The sequence below is a fragment of the Homo sapiens genome, chromosome 3 (genome assembly GCF_000001405.40).
Source record: "Homo sapiens chromosome 3, GRCh38.p14 Primary Assembly".
NCBI lineage: Eukaryota > Metazoa > Chordata > Mammalia > Primates > Hominidae > Homo > Homo sapiens.
The window spans coordinates 116273739-116300957 of record NC_000003.12 but is presented as its reverse complement, the minus strand read 5'-3'; the positions used below and the strand labels follow the sequence as shown (position 1 = coordinate 116300957).

Here is a 27219-nt window from a genome sequence, read left to right as displayed (position 1 = left end):
TTTTCCTTTTTTATTAAGAGGGACAGAGATGAGCTGGAAGAGTTAAGTCACTTCCCCAAAATGAGCATTTCGTTTTCAGAGGTTGGATTGGTCTTTTGTGAATATTACATGCCGACTTATGTGATGAGATGAAGAGACTTGACAGATCATTGCTAGAAGTTTAAGTCAGCCATCCCCAAACTTTTTGGCACCAGGGGCTGGTTTCATAGAAGGCGATTTTTCCACAAACTGGGGTAGGGGGAGTGGTTTTGGGATGAAACTTCAGATCATCAAGTATTAGTTAGAGTCTCAGATCATCAGGTATTAGTTAGATTCTCATAAGAAGCATGCAACCTAGATCCTTCATATGCGCAGTTCACAAAAGGGTTCACGCTCCTATGAGGATCTAATGCTGCTGCTGATCTGACAGGAGGTGGAGCTCAGGCCTGCCCCTTACCTCCTGCTGTGCAGCTGGGTTCCTAACAGGGCACAGACCAGTATGGGGCTGGGGACCCCTGATTTAAGTGACTTTATGTGTTACAAATCAAGTCAATAGGAGAGCGGGCCCATTGTCAATAAGGCCTCTGAACACTTGCCCAGTGCTTTCTTCCTGAGTTGTGTGGTTTCTCGTGTTCTGTGTATTCAGGTTCAAACCCTTGGGAACTGTAGCCAAGTTCTTATTTTTTGCTGTCTGTTATGACTTTGCCTAAGCAAGGGGATGCAGCACGATGCTGCTGCACAGCCAGCATGCTTTCTTCCTTCACCTCTCTGCTAAATGAATGTGATCAAAATGTGCCTTGGACATGGGAACCTAAAAAATGGGACCGTGTTCCCTCATGGAGCTCAGTAATGTTTACTGAGCCCAACAGCTTGATTTTACTCAGTCTCTGCTGCCTTAATGTCTGGCTTCAGGGTGGAAGGTGGAAAGGGAGGGAATGAGGAATTGCTGAGAGGGACTCAGGCGACACGGTTAACAGATGGCCTTATTAGAGACAGTTTCCCTAGGCCTAAGTGAAGCCTTTTTGTCTGAGTTGGCAAGAAGTGGGTCATTTTCCTGAGCTGTCAGGCTCAATGCTTACCTGACTTGTGGCTGTGGTTGCAGCAAGCTGTTGGTTTCCCCACAGCCTTTCAGTTCCCTGAGATATGCTAAGGGTCTTGTTTTTCTGAGCCTTTCCACAGCAAGACTGGACTTCCATATAGACGATTTGTTTCTTTTCTGAGCTGTAGGTTTCTCATCATTCTGCATGCTTCTTGCACAACTAGTCACAGTTGGGGATCTCTGAATCTCTGCCCTTTAGCTGGGTCCAGTGCTGATGTGGTCTAATGGTCCAGTGATTCTGAAACCTGGAGAGCCAGATAAATATTTCAGAGTCTCGAAACCATCTATATACCCAGAAACTTCTGTACGTAGAATAAAGAGCAAGCCTAATTTATATTTGTATTGCTATTATTCTCAGTGTAAGTACATTTTACAATGAGCACAATTCAGATTAATTAAAAGTATTTCTGAAGGCATAGTGACTTTTTGTCATTGTGTACTTTCTCAGTCAGTCAGTGGATATTGAAAGAGTGACCATGTTCGTGTGGTTCTGCAGAATCTTTTGACAGTGTTTTCGTAATATTTGCTAAGAATTTACTCTCCATCAATCCTGTTTCCAGTACGTGAGACTCTGTCTCCTTTAGGCTCTACCTGTCTCAGATTATACATCAGTGACCTTTTAGCATGTCAATAGTAATCCTTCTCCTACCCACAGCTGTTTTGGAAGAATTCAGTCATGTCGTTTCTACTTCTCCCAATTCCCCAGTTCAAGGTCTTGTGGGTGGTCATTGTCTAGGGACATTGAAAGGGCAGAATACTTAAATGGTGAAGACAAAAAACAACTTTCAGCTCATTGCTTAAAAAGACTCTGTGCTCTGAGACATTTGCATAAGGCTATGTTACTCTATCATTTCTGCTGGCCAAAAATATATCTTTTTTAAAATTTTGGTTCCATTCTCTTTCCCACTCCCCACACCCCTTTCTTCATAAGTCCTTAAGTGTTTGGCAAATACCCACATGTAAGGGTATACATTGCTCAATTTTGAAAACCTCTACAAAGATAGATTGTGTCTGTTCCTTCTGCTTGCTATAAGGACCTGGCACAGAAGCAGAAACTCTAAATATAACGGGAAATAAACCAGTATCTCTAGATAGGCTCGTGTGAATTCAAAAATTGTAAGTGCTTAATTAAGCCCAACTTGAAAATTATTTCTGTCTCCAACAAGAAAAAGAATAGAAAATAAAGTGAAACTGTGCCTTGAAATTAGTTCTCAAAACATATATAACATACTTTGATAGATAAGGAAACAATTCTATGGAGCTATTTTTCTCCCTATGTCACAGATTAATGACTACATCTTTATAGATTGATAAGAGACCACAGAAATACATTTTCTACTGAACAATATTGTCCAAGATCCTTGGTATCTCTGTGCTTTCTCCTCCTCCTCCCCTTCTCCAGCAAACTCCAGAAATCAGAGAAAAGCCTCCTAACTCCCAGTTTTTTTTTTCCCCCTTCTGAACACATACATCTCTCAAATGCATTCAGACATGTGGAGCCAGCAAATATAAAGCTGCTGGTTTTAAGTCCATGATTTACTTGCTAAAACTGGGCATGATTTTGGGCAGAAAACTAGAGAGGGAAACAGAAGGAGGGTCTCTCCCTTCTGTCCGTGGCTCTGCAGGGATTTCTGTTGGAACCAGAAGAGAAGAATTAGACAGAAGGTTTCTTTAGCTTCCAAGAGAGAGTAAGTCAATTGTTGTATTATATTTTAGGTATCTGTGTCTGCAACAAAAGCACAATGGATAGCTAGATGGATTTATAGATAGATAGACAGACACCTAGATGAATGATAAAGAGAAACAGAACATACGTTGAGGAATTGTTGAAGAAGCATGCCTTTTGGAAGATTATTTGGCTGCCAGAGATGCCATGCATAAGGAAGATAAAGGAGATAGAGCCAAGAAGCAGGAAAGCTGGTATGACTACAGAATTAGTGGATTCTGGAAGAGGAGAAAGGGTGTTGGTCAACAGGGTATCACTGAAGAAATATAATGAAGATAAAATTAGAAAACATGAGCAAAACTAAAATACTGTGTTTTTTCACTCATCCTATAAGTGCAAAGGATGAATATTTATTTCCTAAAAAATAATTTTCACCTATTTTATTTTTATTACATACAAATAAACCAATGTACAGAAAAGTTAGTTGACTTTTATCAATTTTTTAGTGTCTTCAAATCACCCCATGTTTTGTTTTGTTTTTCTCAGTCTATCCAGAAAGACATTTCCAGGATAAGACTGACAAAAATAAGGTAAATGGATTGAAATGTAGGATGGTATATATTCAACCCCAAACTTGGCATTTAAATTTTAGGTACAGTATGTCAAGTCAATAGAAAATATGGTATCATATATTATCACCTGTACAAGAAAAAATGTCATTTTGTTTCCAAAGGGATAACATAAAGGTTTCATGTATCAAAGAAAGTTTATGTTTTTAAATAATCATACAGTATTTTCTTTAGAAGACAAGGTGATGTCATACCTCTGATGTCAGCTAGGGATCTCACTATCCTTTGTTATCTAGGGTGAATTTCTTTGACCACCCCAATAATATCCAATCCTGGAAAAGTTCAATGGTCTCTCCAAGATTTCAGTGACCCCTTTTGAAGATTATTAATAATTCCCATGGATTTATTTTCTTAGTTTTCTTCACCTCTACATCTTCTATCTATATAGCCAATCTCTCTTTCACCTGTTTTCAATTTAAATACAGGATTCATTCCCTTCACTGGGATCCACAAGAAACCTAGTCACAACATTTTGTTTTGTTTGTAGACTCCATAGAAAATTAAGAAGCACAGTCCTTGATGCTCAGAATCCTGACATATTTCTTTCCATACTTTTTACTTCTTCAAAGATAGGCAAGAGATACGAGGAAAAGAATCCTATGAGGACATTCAGAACATGTTGTTTTTAATTTAGATCAGCCCCTAAAACTATGATCTGGGGCTTGTCATTTAAGTTCCACAGGACTGCCTTCTTGTTTATGTAATAACAAATTTGGACTATTTTTCCATGTTCTTTCATGGTTGCAGATTCCAAGGTCCTCCATGGCGTAAGGGTTATGCCTTCAACTTTGAATTTCCCACAATTCTGGGTATAATGTATTACCCATAGGAGTAGAGCCTCAGTAGACCTTTATGGGTTTCTTTTTTTTTTTTTTTTTTTTTTTTTTTTTGAGACAGAGTCACGCTCTGTCGCCCAGGCTGGCGTGCAGTGGCGCAATCTGGGCTCACTGCAAGCTCTGCCTCCCGGGTTAACGCCATTCTCTGGCCTCAGCCTCCCGAGTAGCTGGGACTACGGGCGCCCGCCACGGCACCCACCACCATGCCCGGCTAATTTTTTGTATTTTTTTAGTAGAGACGGGGTTTCACCGTGTTAGCCAGGGTGGTCTCTGTCTCCTGACCTGGTGATCCGCCTGCCTCGGCCTCCCAATATGGGTTTCTTAAAGATAAATCATTGTTCTGTGTAAGCCTGACACCTGAAGAACCCTGTTGGACACTCCCTTGCTTGAACAAAGCAAATATTGCTGTGGTCAAACAGTATAGTTCTGGGCTGCTCTTAACCAAATCCCTTTCAGTGGGGGTTGTTTGCAGAATATTTTTACAGTAAAATAAAGCCTTTGGGGTTTAAATAATCCAGAAAATGTAGCAGCTTTGTCCTGTTCAATACAGCTAAGAAGAAAGTCTTCTTTACACTCAAAGTTTCAAAGACTGGGACGGAATTAGCTAAGAGAGTAGAGAGCTACGACAATAGCTGTTCATTTCAGGCTCTAGCAATTGATTTGATTTTTCCATCTATGAATTGGTTATGGTGACCGTATTCATATTCACAGTGTTTCAGCTCTTCCAGCACACACAGACATGGACTTTTAAACTTAGCGGGAATGAGTGTTTTATTATAACCTAGATTTTAATGTCTCATCCAAATTTATACAAGCAAGTACATAAATTTCCTAATGTACTATTCTAAAGGCACAAATAACACTCTAGTCCCCTTCTTAATCTGAAGTCTGAACTGTGGGAGTTTATTATGTATGTTTTCTCACAGGGTATCTCATTTATGCATCTATTTACATAACAAAATAGTCATAGAAGCTTCCTTTTTGGGACTTGGAGGGTCAATACATAATACCTTTTTGTTCCCCTTCTAAATTCTAATTCAATTAAGACACAAGACACAAAGACAGATATCTCCTCTGTCTCTTCTGATATGAGATGGTGATTTTAGTATTAGCAATAATGCCAACTAAAGAATGGAGCTATAGAACTGTGACTAGAAGGACATGCTAACACTTTCTGTCCCTTCTATCTCCCTCCAATTCCCTCTGTTCCTGGTGACTAGACCTTGGGACTGACCACATAATAGAAAGTTTAAATCTATAGAATGTGTACACTTACCTAGAATTATAGCTTTATGCTGTTCAAGATGAGGAAAAAATAAATTCCTATAGCTAGCAAATTTTAAATAGATTAGTTCCAGCCAGTCAGGAAATGTGGATCCACGAATGTCACCCGATATTGAAATAACTCAATCTTGGAGAGTCATAAGGCCAAGGTATCATTGTACTGGAAGTTCTTGCAGATAGAAAATAGAAATCAGCAAAAAGAGGCTCCCCTCATCCTTACTTTTATTCAGAATTTAAAAATTCCTTTAGCCTTGGCCAGATGTATGATTCCCCCTCGAGTAGGGTAAATACACAATGCCAATTCTGGCTACTTTTTCTTTTTCTCTCAACTATAAAGATATGATTTTCATGTCCTATTTTATCATTTTCTTTCTTTTAGTATTTCATCAATCTTTTGTGTTCCATACAGGGGCATTCTTATACCCCCTAAAGCCAAAAGATAAAGTCAGTTCTATTAGTTTTTTATTTCCTGCTCTCTTGACGATGAGTTTTAATTGAACTTTGGGAAAAGATTGTAAGAACTATGCAGTTGCTATAACTCCTCTGGTCTGGCTTGCAGTCAGTATAAATGCTGTAAGTTCAGTTGGTGACAAATTGAATTTTACACACTCTGTCACCCTCCTTCACTATTCCCCATGCCTAATCACAGCAGGTTTGAAAGTTAAGTGCAGGTTACCTATGTTATTTCATGTTAATGGTGAAATGGCTGCTTCTATAATAAATATCCCACATCAAATATTATCCACAGAATATATAAATTAATTTTAGCTTCATAACATTTCTTAATATTTAAATTTAAATGGCGATCTAAGCTTGTAACGTTGTGTGTTACTTTTAATATTTTGAGGCACAATAGGAAACACTGATTACTATAATGCTGAAATTTGTATGAATAGTATTTAAAAATCACTGCTGCTATGGTAACCAAAAAAAATCTTTGTTCTTTATTATAAGAGTCTGTTAAAGGATTTCTTTTTATTTCAGATTGATTTTCATATGCTTTTATTCATTTTTTATAAAATGACTTTTCTGAAATAGAGGTGATTATTGTTCTTATTTCTGAATCCTAGAACATTCAAATCCTTTAGTAAACTGTAGTAAGACTCAGCAGTCAACATTTGGAATAATTGTAGTAAAATCAAGACCCCAAATTGCATAGAAATATTATTTTCCAAACATTGTCCTTCCAGCCTATTTTATGAAATTCAACCATTAATAGTTGACAATCTTCATGTGAATAATCCACTGAGTGGACTGATTGGTGCCAGTGTTCAATGTCAAGTAGTTGTACCCCAGCTACCTATGGGTCTGGCTTTTTTACACCCTGGTGGTAGTAGGGGCGTGTGTGTGGGAGGTGCAGATTGAAAGTGATGATGATCATCATCATTATTACACATTCTATCATGTATTCAATTATTCATTTATTCATCCTTTCAGCTAGAGAATCAAACAACCAATGAAGTAAATGACTAATACATACTGAGGACACATAGCTGTCCTCATACATGTAGTATATAGTATATACATATAGTATATATGTATAGTGTATCATTATGTTGCATGTCACCTGAGAGAGAAAAGAGTACATTTTTTAGTGTTTATTTGTGCATTCAAAATAATACATGCATATAACTAAAACCGTCAAAGTATAGAACAATTCCTGCCTTACCCCCAACTCGGAATCTTACTTCCCACTTTTAACAGTTTCAGTTCTGGTTTAATTATTATGCTGAATAACTCCATATATCTCACTATAGTGCTTATGCTGATGCCTATATATTTATTAACTTTAGATAATATCTATTGATTTCATGTTATAATAGATAACAACTTTGCTTATTCAAACTATGCCCTCATTTTCCTAACTCAATATGATAATAAATCTCATCTCAATTATTTCACTAGTCACCTCTGTATGAACTGTCTGCGACTAAATTCAATCCTCCATTTTTTTGTTCTATGAACCATATACAGTATTTCTTAACCCCCATCTTGTAAGTTAAGAACAGTTGGGATTTCTGCCTGTCTCTCTACTTTGTTTCTCACCTTTAAAAAAAAGTATTTAATGAAAATAGAAAATAAAACATTATTATTCTACCTTTGTATAGCCCTTCATAATTTGCAAAGTTTTTAGGTTTCAGGGCAATCTTCAGGACAACTGATGCCCACCATTAGAATTTAAAATGAAGGGATATCCTTATATGGATATCAGATACATCCTTGGTAAAGTTCCCTGGTGTGAATACAATATGGATCTAGTACTGAGGATCAAGACCTTTGAAATAGAAATCACCTTGGTAGCAGAACCAGTAACATTGGACATCCAAAAGAGATGTTCTTATCTCACAGGGAAAAAAGCCAAACATGAGCATTCTGAAGAAAATTATGGTACATATGATAGGGTGAAGGTGTTAAAATGAACCTCTTTGGGCTGGTGTTCATTCATGACATGGAAAGGAAATAAATAGAGAAAGAAATAGTTTCTGCTTCCTTTTGTTAAGGCTGACATAGCAGGTTTCAAGAGGTAACCCTCCCACAGGATATGGACTAAAAAAGGTTAATGGGATAGTCTTTGGTTTATTGCACATTCATATTATTTTGAGTTTTACCCTTACATGCCCTTAGGTTCACTGTGTTCTGAATGAACACTTTCAGGACAACAAAGAAACTATGTGAGCAAACCATTTAACCTTGCGAGCTTCAGTTATCTTCCATGGCAAATGAGGCTGGGAACCAAAATCATTTGTGAAGTCATTTTTTAGTGTTAATTTTGATACTGTGGATCACCAGTCAGGAGGCCAGATCAAGTACACTGAGTTGAACAAAAGATCTATAAACAAAATCGTACATTTGTAAAGCCCGCCACAAATTATAAACTCCAATGGTCCCCCTTGCCCTATTGATTTCTCAGGACAACCCTGGAAAATTCACTGGGTGCATTTGCTCAAGATTTTATAGTTAAATAATGGCTGGGTTCAGATTAGAGACCTGATTTTCTGTTTCCTAGTGGTATTTTTTCTAACCCTCTGATATAGGCAGCACACATTTATACAATGTCATTTATCCTTATTTATTAATGATTTATTTACATCATTTCCACACAGTTTTTGTCCTGAAATCACCATTTGAGAAGTTATGGCTGGAATCATCTTCTTTTCATTCTTATGTGCTGCTTTTGCGTAGTGAGACCCAGGATTAAAGATGAGTTGACTTGATGCACGGACTGTTAATATATTGAGGAGATTAGGAGCCTTGTCAGTGTGATATTATTTCCTACTTGTATTTAATTATAAAATGTACATTCCATCTAAACTGCAGAAATGAAATAAATAAAAGAAGTAGGGGAGATTACCAAAGATAAATTTTAAATTAACTCACTGCTCTGAAAGTCAGGTGAAAAAATACTGTTTCTTGTACATCTTTTGCGAGTGGTACCATTTTATGTTGATGATTGCTGAGTGGTGATCTTAAAGCTTGGGAAATTTGTAGTAATGAAGAAGAGAATAAGAAAAGAGATAAAGACCAAAAGTCCAAACAGTTGTTGCCTGGCAGATTTCTCTATAAAAACAGGAGCTCTGCTGGGCACTTCTTTGTGTGAATTAAGGATTATTTTTCCAGAAAAACTTCAGGTTTATGCAACTTCTAAAGTGTGGCCTGAAAATGGATGTGTCTGTTTTACAAATGGGGGTCACTGCCAATGTTTCAAGTACCTTAGAGTCAATCTAAAGCCATGATGAGTGTGGGAAGTTACAATGGGGCATCAGAAACACCTGGGCCATATGGGAGGAAAGAAAGAAACCATCAAAGCTCACTTATAGATCTGAAGTGAAAGTTTAGATAGATCCCTACCCCCTATTCTAACTCAGGTCATTTCCCAATCTAATGTTATCTGTAGCAAACCAGTTGAAGCCAACTAATAATTAGAACAAAACATCTATCCTGGTCTCATAGAATATGAGAAATTGAAAACATTCCAAGTATCATCTAGGCCAAAGCACTTATTTTGCAGGTGAAGATACCGAAACCCACGGAGGTTAAGCGTCTTGCCCAAGGTTAAATGGTTTGTTAGTAGCATATCTGGGATTAGAGCCCAGATCTCATGACTTCTAAGCCAGTGCTTTTGGTCAAATTCAACATCGTCTGCCCATATGGCCAAACCATATGGCAGAGTCCTCAAAGACCTAGCTATACTCCCAGAAAATCTAAGCTGACTGTTATCTTCTCTTCAATTTTGTTTCCAATTCACCTATCCATATATGTGAACTCTAATTAGAAAGGCACAGATTTATAAGTTGGAGCATATATATTCAAAGGAGTAAGTAGGTTAGATTGGGGTAAGGAGACAAAGAGGAACAAGCCCAGTACAGATAATGACTTGAGAAAAGACATAAACATGATAATTTGACTGGTGTCTTTTGCAACCATTGCGAAGATTAACAGTTTCTTGTTGGACATAAGGGGTGCATAAACTTAGAGATGTAGTTCAGAGTCAGAATATGAAGCATCTTCAGTGAAATTTTAGAGTTTGGATGGGACCATGTGTGCAAGAAGAGATACAGGAGATTTTTTAAGAGAACATTGGCTTGTCTTAACCATTATTAATTTGATTAATTTAATAGCAGACAATAGGGCTGATTGATTATATCAAGGATAAGTTAGAGGCATAAAGATCAACTAGGAAAGTTTATTTTATTATTATTATTATTATTATTATTATTATTATTATTATTTTTGTGAGACAGAGTCTCGCTCTGTCACCCAGGCTGGAGTGAAATGGTGCAATCTTGGCTCACTGCAACCTCCGCCTCGCAGGTTCAAGGGATTCTCCTGCCTCAGCCTCCTGAGTAGCTGGGATTACAGGCACACGCCACCACACCAGGCTAATTTTTGTATTTTTAGTAGAGATAGGGTTTTACCATGTTGGTCAGGCTGGTCTCAAACTCCTGACCCCATGATCTGCCTGCCTCGGCCTCCCAAAGTGCTGGGATTACAGACGTGAGCCACTGCGCCCAGCCAAAAGTACTTTTATGTCTAGATAATTTTACATATGTAGTGGGGAAGATGGGGGGGAATTCTTCAACTTACAGATTTCAATTTTTAATATCCACTTGTTTTTGAATGTGTTACAACATAAGGAGTGAAATTTAATATTTTCCCTGTGTCAATGTAAGAAGGGGCAGTGTGCAGGGACATGACATTGAAAGAAACTACCACATACAGTGTCTCCTATAAACTAAAATGCTACTACTCCAATTCCTTTTCTTGAAAGTCACCATAGGCTACTTGAATTAGAGATCTTTTTGACTAAATGAGGGAGTTGTATACCCACTCAAAGGTGCCATTCTAGAATTCATCAGATTGATTGATACAAAAAGCTCTACACAATAGGGTAATTAATGATTTACTAATCAATCAGAGTAGCCATTTCTGGTATTTATGCTAGGAAATATAAGAGGATAAGCCAGCAACTAATGAAAAGAGAAAATAGAGGAAATCCAAAGAGAAAAAGAGATGAGGCAAGTAACTAGTTCATACAGCTGCTTTGTACTGTGATAGCTTTTTAATCCAGGTTTAGCTTCAGGCTATACATGTCTTTACAATAAATCCTCTTTTCCTAAGATAGCGTGAGTGACTCTCTTCTTTGTAGCAAACTGATAAGCATATCGAGTTAATTTTTAATATGGCCAATTTGATAATTAAAAACTTAATAAGCAGGTTTGTGCTGGGACAGTGAACTAAAATTTCCATTTAAATGTGCCACAAAGTGACTATTGAATGATGTATTTCACTTATAGGATCTTACCACCGAGGCACTCTGACTTTACAAAAGGTCAGATAGAAGGGTTTTCTGGGCCTCTAGTTAGGCAGTGGCATATATAAAAGGAACAGAGTAGAAAGGTAGGGGAAATTGATTGCAAAGTCAGTGGGTCCTCAGCAGCCTTTGCAGCACCATTTGGCCATTGACCTAATCAAACATTTTCTAAGTTTGTTATGACAAACTAAGGCATGCTGTAAATGTTAGTGGATATTCTGTTTTCTTGAAAAAAAAATTTGTTCTAAGTTAAATACAGGTAGAAATTGCTGTTTAAACAAATTAAGCAAATTAAACAGGTTTTAGGAAAACGGCTTTTCAGAGCCTTTCATATGTTATGGTACATTGTGAATATCTAAAAAATAAAATAAAATGTGTAGCAGTTTTCAAATGTTTGACAATGAAAGTCCCTACCTTCAGTTTTTGAGAACTGCTTATTTATATCTCAGAGACATACCAGTCTTGATTTACTCCTTTCTTTTATAAATTGGTGTGTTTTCTTTTGTGTTAGGCTTTCTCTGATTGCTATAGATGCTACTGATTGTTTCTCTCATGAAATTTTATAAAACATGATAAATAAACAAAACTCATGGTTCTATGAATTCAGTTTCCATCTCTAAGTGTGCACTGTATTGTAACATAAATCCTTACAAGCCAATCTAATAAACTCATGGAATTTAAAACTGGGAAAGCACAGATCTGGTTTTACTATGTGTGAAATGGTTTAAACATTTATAAAAAATTGAACTTCATTTATTCTCAAATGAACTGGCATACTGTTTGTCTCTCTTTGGTATTGAAATAACTTAATAAATACTAAGACAGTTTTGGAAGAGTACAGCTATTGTTTGAGGTCCCCTTATGAAAAACATTCTACCAGCTGGTTTGGTAGCAAAAGAAATTCTCACTGTCTATGCCAGGAAAATGAATAGTGCTGTGCTGTAAACTCAAGAGATCAAAGTGGCTGGGAAAAAATGTAGATACCGCATGTTTGGGGAAGTTAGCAAATTGAAACTCTCAGTATTTTCGGGACGTCATCACAGGAAACCTTCTGACTTTGTGAGGGAGAGAACAGCATAAATGGAATGAAGTTTTAAATCAGCTTTTTAAAGTTTGAAGATTAGAAGTTTCACCGATCTTCACTCTATGGGTCCCCAGTGAAGAATCAACAATGTAAAAGTAACCATATGTGAAGCAATGAACACACATTTTAATCCATTGCTTGTAATGGTCATGATGGGGGAGCAGGCACTGGCTAAATGGCAGTTCTGCCATTTCTCTAACAACTGTTCTGTGTTACCCACAATTAACGATACCTTCTCTCATCTGTCTTTTCTTTGAGAATCCATTCAGAGAGGAAAACAGAAGCAGCAGCAGATGTGAATGGGCAGAAAGACAGGGATGGTGCTCAAGGGTAGTTTACCTCTGCTCCAAAGAGAGCATGAGTGCCACCTCCATGTGCCTTAGTTTGCATTTTTTTCTTACTCTTTTCCCTATTCGTTCCATCTAATATAAACAAAACACTGAAGACACCAGGATCATAGGCTCTACCTCCTTCACTCTAAAACAAAGAAAAGAAACATACCTGCCTTCTTTGATATGGTCATAGTATCTTACTTTTTTTTAAATCTTTTTGCCTCCCTTCTATAGAGGCAGCACTCTCTGTCCTCTTTCAAGGTCAAATTTATTAGAAATGGAGAGGAAATATCATGCTTCCTGAGTCTAAGCAAGCTGGTTTGGAATTGCATAAAGTCTGAGGCTTGTGCAGTGTTCTTAGCCAGGGAGGCTGCCCATTAACACTTCTTGTTGAGGGCAAACTAACAGCTCTATAAGAGCAGGCAGAGAAATCTGCATTGTGAGGTTAATGATTGGAGCATGAAATGATCAAACTGGAGGTGGGACTTTGGGATATGCTGGTGATGAGGTTGGTAAAGTTAGATAAATGGCCATTTATTTTGGTTTCTATTTTTTCCATTAGGTAAGGAGAGAATATTTTAACATTTCATTCCTTTTCTACATTTATCTTTTTCAGGTTTATTCTTCTAGTGGAGTTTGCTTTCAGAATTCTTAATATTTTACTCTTTACCTTTTTGTCTTAGGAAATGTTAAATCCACCAAGCTGTAGTAAGTGATAGAGCCAGATTTAACACACACAAAAAGGAATAAACATTTTACAGGCAGCTGCTCTTCCGAATGCACAAACGCTCATCATTACTGTATGAGAGCCTGATTATTATGCCCTCAACCCACTTGGACAGAGGGATTTGTGTGGATTGCAAATTAAGTCTTCATGCTTGGGAGTGCGTCTTCTCATATTATAGGGTCACATTGTGAGAGCTATAGGTGGGAAAATCACAGAGGAGTGCTAAGCAGTTTTGACCTGATCTCCATAATGCAAAACCATGCCAACATGTTAGCTGCAAACATGCATTTATGACTCTCTCTGCATGTGACACACTATCCTCCATATACATGTACACACACACATACAGAGATACACACACACACATCACCAAGTCTTAAACAGTTAACTTTAAAAAAATTACATATAAACCTTCCAAGAAAGCGCTACCAACTTCATCCAATTCTTGCTATATCCATAAGTGGCTATTACAAGGGAAGCAATGAGAGACTGGAGAGGAATATTCCATTTTATCTCTAGATGGTTATAGATAGAAAGGGATGAGGGAGTCACAGCTGGTGATGGCAGTGTCCTTTCCATAGACCTTTTAGGCCCTAGTTACCTTTTTTTTTTTTTTTTAACTTGAGAGATAATACACATGGTATGGGAGGTAGGCAATGCAGAACTAGAAAAAGTTAATGACATTAATATTTAATAGTAGGCTCTTCTACTGATAAAAATTTGCTAGATGCCAAACATAATTTTTTATAACAAACCTCTGCTTTTGCATGGTACAGATGATTTGTGTAACTTTTGATCTAAATAGTTTAAAATCACTAGTTCTTGTGGAAAAATGTGATACCAGTTCCTCTGCTAATCAAGGTAAATGAGCCGTAGTCAGATAGATGGAAAGACAGACCAAAAAATGAAAGGGATAAAAAGCTGGAGGAGGGTGAGTTAGAGGAAGAGAAGTGATTAAAACCATAGAAGCCTCATCTGAGGACATGAGCCTGAAAGAGAACAGCATCACTCTGAGCCTGAATTGCTATGAGAGCTGTGCCTTTCCATCATTTTTAATGGAATGTTATTAAAGACAAATCTGGAGTAGTCAACCCTTCAGTGCTTCCTCTTAATTTATTTATTTCTGCTGAAGGAAACCCTGTTAACCCCAGCAGATAATGTATTCAACAGCTTGTATCCATGGCAAGGTTGTTTCCTAAAAATTTTATGGGATAAATTTAGTTCAACATTTGCACATATTTACACATGAGGTCTCCATTTCAAGGTCTTTGGCTTAAGCAAGAAAGTCATTCCCAAGGCAGGATGTCTGCCAGAGCTGCAGAGTATATTCCATATGCATTGCAAAGCTTCCCTGTTCCCTAGGACATAGGAAGGACATTGCCTCAAATGCCCCTCTTCTCCTCCTGGAATTTCAAAGTTAGTTAGTCCAGGACTACTGTGAACCACAGGAAGCTTTCTGCAGTTAAGTCCTCTGGGTTTTGTCTCAGACCTAGACTGGCTCCCCCACAGTCTTTGTCCTCTTTTTTGTAAGCTCTAGAGATGAAGCCTGTTTTCTCTTTTAAACAACTCTATCCTTTCTAGGCCTCTTCCCCAATGAAACTACCCTGGAGTGGCACATAGTTTCGCTGTCTCCCAAATTCCTAAGACACACCAAATGCACAGGCCTTTTCCCTTTTAAGGGTTTTACAACTAACTGTTTTGTGTAGTGGGGTGAGGAGTGGAAGGAAAAAAAAGAAGGCATTTCTTTTTATTTTCCATTGACATTTAATGAGCACTTGCTATGCACCTAGCCTGATTCTAGACACTAGGGAATGCCACAGTTTGGAAGCAAAGTAACTATTTTCATGACTTTTACATTCTAATGAGAAAAGACAGCAAATACCATCACTTGTTTCTATATAAATTCTGGGATGAAAATGAAAGCACAAGGAATGGGAGATGTTTTAGAAACTATCCTTTAAAAAAAAAAATACACATTTCTCAGGAGCAGTTACATTAGAGCAGAGTCCTGAAAGAAGAGGGAATGAGCCATGCAAAAGTTTGGAGGTAAAACATTCCAGGGAGAAGAAATGACATTTACGAAGGTTACCTGGCATGGATAGGCTTGGGCTGCCTGAGGATTGGCAGACTCACCCATATATCTATAAGAGAAAAAGGGAGACAGAGTCTGGTGGGAGATGGGGTTCCTGAAGATAGGTCTCGATCACCTCCTGTAGAGACATAGGCCAATCAGAAGTTGTGATTTTATTCCATGAGTGACGGGAGGCCATTGCAGAACAGTGATATGGGATTATTTACATTTTAAAAGATCACCTGGTGCAAATGGGGATGGGGAAGTTGAAGGGAGTTCAGAACCACTCAGCCAATTTGGAGCTGAGCCAGCCCTAACACTCAAGCTTCAAACCAGTCGTAGTGATCAACGATTTCAGTCTTGACTTTGAGATTTAGACCTTTGCTTTCTTTGTTGTTTCTGTTATTTGTCTTTGAAAGTAGCAACATCATTCAGTCATTTACTACTCAAAGGTACTTCACCACAATGCAAAGATGTCTTAGAACATATACTTGCCATTGTATATTTTCTTTTCATAATTGTGTCATATTTTATATTTCTTCAAATAGCACTGATGAAGAGACAACTAGATGCTTTGGTATTCTGGATGAACTTGTGGACTTGATCATTTTTAGAAATCACGTAGTTGAATTTCAGATGGAATTGGTCATTTTAGAAGGATTCTGAAGTTTGGAAACCATCCTTTGTGTTCTTTGGATTGAGAGCCCATGAGATAGAAGTGATTTCCTGGTGGGCTGTCTTATATACAGCAGGATGACAGCCATCAAGGAATTAAATGCAGGGTTTATCCTTCCATCAATACCAAAAAGTGTAAATGCCTTGGTTTGGAGTTAAGGGTGAAACATAGAGATTTCACCTGGTGGGAAGAAAGAAGATAGGCTGCATTTCTGAGAAATGGTCCACAGCTTCTATGATATAGTAGCCTTGGAGATGATGAAATTTATTGTTAATTGTTAAACCAGAATCATGCAAATGCATTACTAGCAAATTGCATGCCTTCCAAGGTCCTTTTGAAGCCTAAAGAATGTATACATTATCTCCTAGACAAAAATTATTTTTAAAAAAGAATCACAAAACTATACTGGTTTCATAATGATAGATGTGTGAGATTAATATATTTTTAAAAACATTATTTTTTGGCATAGAACTTTGAATTTAAACACCAAGGTAGTAAATTGCCCTACAAGAGGGAACATGACTTACAGGTAAGCAACTTCAGGCATGAAACAATAGATCTCTTAGTGGAGGGGCTCTAAAATCATCAGCCTCCTAATCACCTTTACCATCTTCAATTTTAGAAGTCATAAACTATGAAAATATTTTTTACATGCATCCTGGTCTTCTCCTCCTGACCACATATTAAAACAATCACAAACTTATATCAAAGAAATAAGTTGAGACTATTTTTTAATTTTATTTATTTATTTTTTTGGGAGACAGAGTCTCACTCTATCACCCAGGTTTGAGTGCAGTGGCGCAACCTCGGCTCACTGCAACCTCCGCCTCCTGGGTTCAAGCAATTCTTCTACCTCAGCCTCCCAAGTAGCTGGGATTACAGGTGTATGTCACCATGCCCAGCTAATTTTTGTATTTTTAGTAGAAATGGGGTTTTGCCATGTTTCCCAGGCTGGTGAGACTATCTTAATTGGAAGAAAAATAAAAACTAAGGAGGACTGAGGAGGAAAGTGCCATTTTCATTAGGCACATACCGTCACAACCTCCATCTGGCTCTTACAAAACACAAGATTCATAGGGTTCATTATAAGCCATCTTTATTTTTTGATTCCCAGAATCTCTTTAAAATTTATTCACTGGGATTATTCTCTTATGCCCTTGACCAGGAATTTTCTGGTCTGTCTTAGATAATACAAAGCTAGCCCTAAAGTAACGTAGCCAGATGAGGTTAGATAAGAAAAAGTCAGCCCTAAGGTAACTTTAAGCACAAAACTTAGACTTTATTGAAAAGTAAACTGTCAAGCCATATTAGTCAATAGTTTTTTCCTCTATCTCATGCTAAAGTGTAATTCAGTCAGGGAAAAGGGATGCCTTTTCCTTATTTCCCTCTCCCATTCTTCCCACTCAACAACTGTATACTTGTCATGGTTTATTTTATCTTCATAATTGTATCATATATTTCTTCAAATAGCACCGATGAACACGTAACTAGGTACTTCAAAATTCTGGAGTTATAGGTACTTTTCCTCCTTTCTTTCTTTCTTCTTTTTTTTCTGAAATTCTAGGTACTTTTTTTTTCCTCTCTTTCTTTACTTTTCTAAATCATTTTTCTGGGATTGGGACTTTGGGGAGGGAGGAAGAGTAAGAAGAACTGGAAACGTTTTACCTTACTTACTGTTACAGCTGCTAGTACTACCCTCCTGTCATAGGTGGGAGAGCAGGGAGATGCTTATAGAAGGTGGCCAGCTGCCAAGGAAGGGCAACTTGTTATGGAATCTTGATAGGGTCATGGGTGGGCAAGAGCAGGATGAGGGTAAGAAGCACCTTGCTGGGAGACAGACAGGGGAGAGAGTAAGGCCCTGAGAAGGACACTGACAAGGAGCACAGCAGTTTCATGAATTTGCCTCAGGTTTGTCTTGCCTAGCAGAAAGACATCAGCTTCTGTTTAGGTCTCAATGTCAACTGTAAAATGGGTTATGAGCCTCTCATTTTTTTGGGGGGTGGGGGGAGTATCACTGGGATTCCTAAGTTAATGGGAAACCTTCTATTTGATAAAAAGATGTATCACAACATCCTTAGCTTAGTTACATTCCAGAGCATTTTTTGCTGTGGTTGCTCCGTTGTTGTCTGCTTATAGTTAAAATCCACATGTCAGAAAATGTGGGATTGAGAGACTGGAGGCATCCATGTATAGAGACTACGTAAGGGACATGGAAGATGTGTTTCCTATTACTGCTACACTGAAGCCATTTAAGAAAGGTATATCACAACTACGTGTTTCACAAGGAGATGCTTCAAAGAAAAGAACATATTAAGAAAAAAAGAATGTTACAATGACAGACTGATGTCAGTTAAATTACTTTTAATGAAGAATTTATGTGCCACTAGTTAAAAGAACAGATTTTTTTTTTCAAATCCTAAAACTATAAGCTGTTTCCAGGGGGCTGCCTCCCCAAGATATATTTTGGATATTTACATGGTATTCTTGCTCTTACAAAACTGGGGTTGAGGGAAATCAAAGGCAAACAACTCTGACAGTCACTGCTATCCCCTTTCCTCTGCATTTTTCCCTCTGTCCTTGTAACATCAAACCAAACTCTCACTATTTCAATGAAGTCCTGCCCAGCATGAGCGCAGTCTGTTTTCCGAGCATGGAAGTTTACCAAAATTACCCTCACTTTTAGTAACAGGTGAAGATGTTTTTAAAGAGCATCTTGATTTTCTTATAGAAAATAAACAAAGCAGCAGCACATGTGTAATCACTTAAATAGCATCCCTTTCCACAACAACAGTGAAACTTCTTATTGACAGTGTCAGAAGGTTAATTAAAAAGTTGTTAATGTGAAGATGGATGTTTTCATTTCAGATTGGTACCTCTCAAGATGTCAGTGTAACTAACATTTGTTGGTTAGTACTAAAATATGTCATAGACAACGTGGGGAAATACCCAACAGCCACAGAAACTTTAAATGTGGGGAGGAGGGTAATATGCTTCAGAATGCTGTGACACTCTAAATGAAATCATATTCCTCTCAAAAGATAACTAATGGCTTTTGATTTAAGAGTATCTATTTAACATGAAGAGATGGGCTCTTAGATTTGTATTTGTGCTGAAAGTAATAATAGTAATAGCATTTTATTATTTGTGTATCTTCTATATTACAACATGCTTTCATAGTCATGCTTAGTTCCCACAACTAAGTTCTGTAAGGTGGTGTCATCATGTTTATTTTCACAGTTGGTGGTTTAATGCACCTTCTAACTACCACGTCTGAATCTGGCAGTTGTAAAGATGAAATATGGCTCCTCTGTTTGCATTTATCAGTTATGATAGCTGTCATTCTTTCTAATTATAAAATGAGTAATTGTCATGAATGCAAAGGAAGGTATACTAAGGATTGTCTCACCAATTTTTCTAATAAGCACTTCTCTTTGAAAACAGCAAGATGTCAGCCCAGGTGAAACTTGAAAAATAGAAGGCAAAAGTTTCAAAGGAGATATAACTTATCCTCCCCTGCCTCTATTCCTCGGCATCCATACATCTTTAATGTCCTTCTTTTCCCCTCTTCAAACACCCTCAAAATTCTCCTTCACAAATATCTTCTGTTCTAATTTTCTGTACTTCATGTCTTCCTTTGTTTCAGGAATCCCTTAGCTCTCATGCCTGTATTTTTTCCAAGTTTGCAACTGCTGGTTTTTCTTTCACCTTTATTCTATCATTTGCATCTATTTTCCTTTCACTCTTTCCTTCCTGTCTCTTCCCATTCTTTTTCTTTCCTTCCCTTTTCTTTCTCTTTCTCCTCCTTTTTCATTTGTGTGTTCAATGTCTTCCAGTTTATTGAGGATAGAATCATTTCTTTTACTCATTAGATGGGTGTTATGTCAGAAAAAAACTATCACACTATTCTGGGCTTTCTGTAAGAGGCAGCATGTTACTTGCAATCCACTGCTTAAGTTTGTGCCGAATGGCCACTTTCACTGGCTAGAGAAGAACAAACTGAGAATCATGATAGAGTGAACCACGACTGTTGGAAAGAAGGAGAAGCCCCTGGATATTAGCCAGTCACCTAGCAAATGCTGTCAGTTGCCCTCTCCTGTAAGTAAATCACATTCTCAGAAGATGTTTATTTCCAAGTCTATGAAAGTTTGTTCAGAAACCCCAGGCCCTAAGTATCATCGAATAGCACAGCATTTTAAAAACTCCCTGGCCAGCACCATAGAAATAGATGCCAATACTGGGTCTGTTTTCAGTTGATTGAATCCTGACCCGCAGCCAAGCTGCTTTAGGGAAGGAGAGCAATGTGGTGCATATCAATTGAAAATCTCAGTCGCCAAGTCCTTGAAAATGTCCCTCTTTCTCAGTTTAATACAAGAAAGAAAGCAGAGGACTAAGGCTCAGGAAGTTGAGTTCAGGTCTCTTCAGGTCTGCTCAGGGGTCATGTGATCCTGAGACGCTTCATTGCTCAGAACCTCCATGTCTTCATCTCTGTAGTGAAAATATATGCCATGCTTTCTTCACTCAGTTATCATGGTGGGAACTAATGTGATTTCGGTGAAATATGTGAAGATTAAAAAGTTGTTATGTATTGATTTAATACTACTGTACTTTCTATTTTTTTGTCTTCATGGTGTAAATGTTTCTGATCAGATTCTGTTTTCTCTTACGTTACACCAGAGTGAAAAGTTTACAAGCATCATCAGTAATTAAAGCCACCAGTATTTATTTTTTTATGTGTGAATAATCCCATGTAAATGCCTGTATTACAGACATAATATTTGGCCCAACTCGGATTTTTTAATGATTGTTTCTTAACTGGTATTGAACTTAAATAATAGTAAATGTTTTCAATGTATTATTAACATTTACTAGAACAGTTGACATTGAAAAAATGGGCAAGTGCAGCTAATCTATCATATGACATATGAAAATCATTTATAGCAGAGTTCAATAATCATTAACTTTTGGAATTTTGGGAAAATGCTTATCATTTTCAATGACATTTTTATGTTGTATATGAAAACAGATTTTCAAAATTCAATACAGATAATATATACTCAGCAGTCAGCAATCTACATGTGACAGTATTATTACTGAACATAATTTTATGTCTACAATAATTACAAGCAATAAAATATAATAACCAAGAATATTGTTTCTTTAGGCAAGCACATATTTTCCAAATATGAAAAATTTGTACCACTTTTCAATATTTGAGACTAGCACAAGCAAAAATCAGTGTAGAGAATCTTTCACATGAGAGTAGATAGAATAGGCTCCCTACTCTTCTACACCTGGCTTTAGTCAAAGACTAGAGTTATATTGAAGATGTGATGTTTATACAAGGAGAGAAGTATACTTTCTGGACAGCCAAGAAAGCTAGTAGCCAGGGCATGCCATCATTTTGGAAAGCCTAGTTGGAAATCAGGCCTTGCAGTGAGAAGGAGGCCATTTTGCTTTAGGCAGTGCTCTTGTGTGATTGTACTTTCTCCTCTAAAGAGGAACTCCTTGTGACTGGTAATTTATTAAGAAGTGATATGTATTGTTTGAGGGCAAGACAGAAGGCTCTCTCACTCTCTCAGGGCTCCCTCTGTCCCTCTCTTTCCCAGGGACACATAGAATTAACATACTTTTAAAATGTAGGATTGAAAAATTGGTGAATGCATTCCTGTGATTCATGTCCAAATTTTATTTAAATGGCAAGTACTAGCAAAAAGAATGTTAATGAAAATTCTCCTACAGAAAAAGCAAAAACTAGGTACATAAACTTGCCGATAGTTTTATAGAATGAAGCTACATATGTATTCTCCCAGGGCACTAGCAGAATAGGAGTTTCCTTGGCTGCCCTTGGAGCAGGTGACTTTAGGCTAACATAGCTATCCATCTTCTTTGAGACAGATGAGTAAATATAAAAGTATCAACAAAACACTTAATTTGGCAGATATCCATTATAATCTATTTAATAAAATTGTATTTATCAAATATCTATTCAACAAAAATCTACTGAGCAACAGCAATGTGCTAGGTGTTGAGTTTTAACTTTATTCACATTAAGCGTGGATAATATTATCATCAAAAGAGCTAACTTTACTAGATATTTTCATGACACAAAAGGGGTTCCTGTCATTATCTAAGGCCACAGTTATGTCACAATGGAAGTAACTTTCAGTTACTTCAAAGCTAAAGTAAACTCTGCAATTTAAAGATGAAAACAGTCATAATTGTGCCCATCAGAGACCCTGCTCCTCCTGGCTTTTTCTGCTTTCCATTTCTCTTGTTTATTTCTCCCAACTGAATTTATGTTCCTGCTTGGTTGTTTTGCAGATGAGTATGATATTATGAATTGAGGATAATAACTTCAGGTGGAGAACAAGCAGTAAAAAAATCAGCTAATAGTTTCATTTAAATGTCCTTAGTAGTAAATAGCAGGAAGAGGAAACCTAGACAATATATAATCTAGGAGCCGAATTATTGAATGGAATAATGTTTAGAGTTCCACAAAGTGACAATAGCTCTTAAATCACATGAAAGGAAAAGCTTATTTCAGCTTCCGGGTGTGTTTGTGACATTTTTTGCTCCCCAAAGCTAGAATTGCTCTGATAATCAGCACACAGAAGGGTTGTCCTGCTAGGACTAAATTATAAATAAGAGCACTCTCAAAGGATTTTACCTGTAGTAATAGTGCTTTCCCTCTTTAATACACTTCACTTTTATTATAGGATTATTGCTTTCAGTTTCTCTCCTAAATGTGCAGTTTCATCAGCACAATATCTTGTACAGATAATGTTAAATAGTGTTACAGTAATTATTAGACATTGCAGTGACATCTTGTATATTACAGTACTAATATGCAAGTGTCTAAAAGATAGGACAATTTCTTTTATTAAGCAGCAAACATAATTTTCATCTTTTATATGATGAAAATAAGAGCAGGCTGAGTCTCTCATGGTTCTCTAAATAATCGATATATTTGTCCAGGGACAGCCACAACCTTTACAACAGGTAACCGTTAAACAGCTCTGAAATGCAGTATTTAAATAGGTAGGCAGATTGTGGTTACACTCTTTAAACAGATGTATAAAAATAAGAAGAGCAGGCCGGGCGCAGTGGCTCACGCCTGTAATCCCAGCACTTTGGGAGGCTGAGGCCGGCAGATCAGGAGGTCAGGAGATCCAGACCATTCTGGCTAACATGGTGAAACCCCGTCTCTACTAAAAAATACAAAAAAATTAGCCAGGCGTGGTGGTGGGCGCCTGTGGTCCCAGCCACTCGGGAGGCTGAGGCAGGAGAAATTGCGTGCACCTGGGAGACGGAGGCTGCAGTGAGCCGAGATCACGCCACTGCACTCCAGCCTGGGCGACAGAGCGAGACTCTGTCTCAAAAAAAAAAAACACAAGATGAGCAAATGAATTCTTATATTCAAAGAATGTTGAACAATTATTAGGACCAAACAGCCCTGGAAATTCTTATGCCTAGAGTGGTGCTACATACTTGGAAATTTCAGCTAATTATCTGAATCAAGAAGTTTAGCTGATAATAATTAGGTAATATCAGCCCATGCTGACCACATGAAACTCCCTACTGGAGCCTTATAATTAATTTATTTTTACAGAGCTAATATTATTTGACATCTCTTATCAGAGGCCATGTTCTATTTTATGGTGTTTGATGATCCCTCAGGTATCCATTGATGCATGGACTGAGTGTCCTACTGCCACTACTGCCTCTGTTCTTGATTCATCTAGAGCTCTGTCTTCTGCTCCATGTGTACTCGCTTATAATCAGACAGGATCTGCCACAATCATGACTGTCAACAAACCTGAGAAACGTGAGTGCACTGCAATACTGTTCATTCCAAAGCCCCTCCTTAGGGACCCTTGTTAATTGGTCCATTCAGTAACGGTCACTGCCTGTCTGCCTTTCTCAGCAGGTTGTCTAGGATGCTCTCAATAAGAATTGTCCTACTGGGCCAGCCCCATGTGGTTGGGCTCACACTTTATTTTTTATGGGTTTTCTTTGCAGACTTCAATCTTTTAGCTTCAATATCTCCTGCAAGGACCCTGTTTTCTTTTTTTTTTTTTCTTTTTTTTTATTTTTCCATAGGTTATTGGGGTACAGGTGGTATTTGGTTATGTAAGTACTTAATTGGTGATGTGTGAGATTTTGGTGCATCCATCACCCCAGCAGTATATGCTGCACCCTGTTTGCAGCCTTTTATCCCTCGCCTCCCTCCCACCCTTCCCTGCAAGTCCCCAAAGTCCATTGTATCATTCTTATGCCTTCGTGTCCTCAAAGTTTAACTCCCACATATCAGTGAGAACATACAATGTTTTCTTAATAATGCTTTGTATGTTTGCTATTTATGAAATTTCTAAATTTTTGAACTATATTTATTTCCAGCTTAAACTAATTCTTAAAACAATCTATACGTTCTGAATGTTGACTAATTGTGCAAAGACTGATCTTTTTGAATTCCAAATGTAGTTTTTGAGGATTTCAGAGGCACACTCACCTATAACATAATGAAGCAGGTGGGTTCATTTGTTTTATTTCCAATCCAGATATTTACTACTTAAAGGTCATTCTCTCTTTGCACCTTTTCACAAGATTTTTTTATGTATTAAAGTATAAACCAATTAGAATATAAAGAAACATCCAACAAGAAAAAGCCTGTTGAATCCATCAAATCAATTAGTGCTAATGTTAAAACATAGCCTGGTGTCAGTCTAGTCACCCTTGAAACATGTTTTTCAAGGTTGTTTTCTGTCTCCTCATGCATGTGATTATACATAGTTCAAAAACTTTACGTAATTTACATAATGAAATGAAAAGTTTACATAATTTCACCCATTCTATCTTCCCCTGATTTGGTTTTATTCAGTTACGTATAGAATGATTCTATCACTTACTACATCTTCTACCTGTTTGTCCTTTATGGAAATAAAATTAATTGATGAATAGGTCTCAAATTGGGAGAAGAGAAGTAGGAATTAGAGATGGAAATATAGGAGAGGAGAGAAGGGGAGTGTAGACAACCTCATTATTGCTAGCAATGATTTAGTCTTCTTGAGAAGCAGATTTTGAATTTCTACACACAGTCCCGCCTGCAAACGTCTGGGAAGAATATTATTTGGCTTTCACAATTTTTCTGCAGCAGTCTATGAAACCTAAAGAGTGAGGTTTAAAAAAAAACGGAAAATGCAATGAAATTCTGTGATTTTTTTCTATTGTTGTCATGCTTAATAATTAATTAGGTAAATAACGTTTCTTTTAAATTATAGACTCCCCCCAATGCCCACACACACTCACAAAATTGGATTTTTCCTATAAAAATGACCAAGGTTGCTTAAACATAATTTTTTTAGACATTATTTTAAAGAGAAGAATAGAGAAAACAAAAATGTGGGCGGTGGGGCAGGGTGTGGTGGCTCAAGCTTGTAATCCCAGTACTTTGGGAGGCCAAGGAGGGAGGATTGCTTGAGCCTAGGAGTTCCAGACCAGCCTGGACAACATAGTGAGACCTGTCTCTATCAATTTTTTTTTTAATTAGCCAGGCATGATGGTGCATACCTGTAGTCTCCGCTATGCAGGAGGCTGAGGCAGGAGAATCACTTGTGTGTGTGAATTCAAGGTTGCAGTAAGCTATGATGATGCCACTGCATTACAGCCTTAGTGACAGAGCAAGAGCCTGTTTATTTATTTATTTATTTATTTTTAAATCCTTTGTGGCCGTGTTTATAAGAAAGACAACAAAAGTTTTAAGCTGCACAAAAATAAAAGTTGCTCTGGGCAGCAGTTTTTTTTTTTTTTTGGCTATTTTTACTCGATGTTATTCCTCTGAATTATAAAAATATACTTTTTATGTATAACTACACCAGTACCTGATGAACTAGATGAATTTTGCCCATTTGTTAATGGTGAGGAGGGAAAAAGACTACAGCGTGCCTATAAATTATATCATTCTTTCAAATTATTTTTACTGCATTTAGGCACAAAACCTTTTGCCTAGATTGCCCTTGATTGGAAAATGGTTTAACCAAAAAGAGAAAAGAAAAAAAAAAGCCAAGGAAGTAAAACACCTTATTTACCAAATCCAGTGACAAATTTCTGTCTCACTGTTTCATTATTTTAACTTCACCTAAACCATAGTTTTAAGTAGGTGGAGGGATGAGAAAAATCTTAGTTCAGCACCTTGTAGACCTTCAATATGTGTGTTTTAAATGATTTACTGAAATTATAGCACATGGTTTGAGGATGTTTATTTCATGTGAACCCATATTTTAGGCATTAGAAAAAGATATAAGAAAAAAATGAATGAAAAATAAATAATACAGTGGTATTCGTTTCAGTCAGATAACATTTGAAACATAGAAAATGAACAGTTTTATGAGCATTGTTTCTTTTGTATTCCCAACTCTGGAGAGCTCCCGTCATTTACTTATTCTTCCATTACCTAAATCCCAGTGACAAAAGCAGGAAGATAATAATGAAAAAACAAAAGTACAAACTACACAATGGAATAACAATTATTTGTAATCATGTTAAAATAGAAACTATATGTTTGCCAAATTCTAGCACATGAACCAAGCATAGAAACTCAGAGAGAAGTTCAAAGGCAGTTAGAAGGTGGGGTAGGGGGAAATGTTAACTTTGAAAATAGTATCCTAAATGTGAGAGAGAACAGTCCAGAAAACTCCTCTGAAATAATTTATAATGAAGAGGTAACATTTAATGAGAACACAGAGGAGAAGTGCTGTAAATGGAAAATAACAGATAGGAAGCAGTGGAGAATCTTAAACTTGGAGGAACCTTAGTGGTCCTCTGGGGTTATTCTTCTAACCTATGGTCAAACACCTTTTACCAATGCATGCTAGGAAGGTGTTTGACCGTGGATTAGAAGAATAAGCCCAGACGACCATTAAGAGAAAGCGAAAGAGAGAGAGAGAGAGAGAAAGAAAGAAAAAGAGAAAGATATATATATCTGTAATTACATAATTCAAAATAAAAATTTTATATATATATACATA

At 37.2% G+C, this 27219-nt stretch overlaps 1 protein-coding gene across 4 annotated transcripts in view, besides 1 other annotated feature; it reads left to right on the top strand.

The window, feature by feature from the left end:
* The window catches only part of LSAMP (limbic system associated membrane protein), a 643114-nt gene that overhangs the window by 144530 nt on the left and 471365 nt on the right, over positions 1 to 27219 (top strand). The gene's annotated exons all lie outside the window — the stretch shown is intronic.
* Positions 12129 to 12329: a silencer, noted in NCBI's record as "peak4776 fragment used in MPRA reporter construct". NCBI's record gives its function as "represses an SCP1 promoter by STARR-seq MPRAs in K562 erythroleukemia cells {active_cell/tissue: K562}" and the evidence as "EXISTENCE:reporter gene assay evidence [ECO:0000049][PMID:32103011]".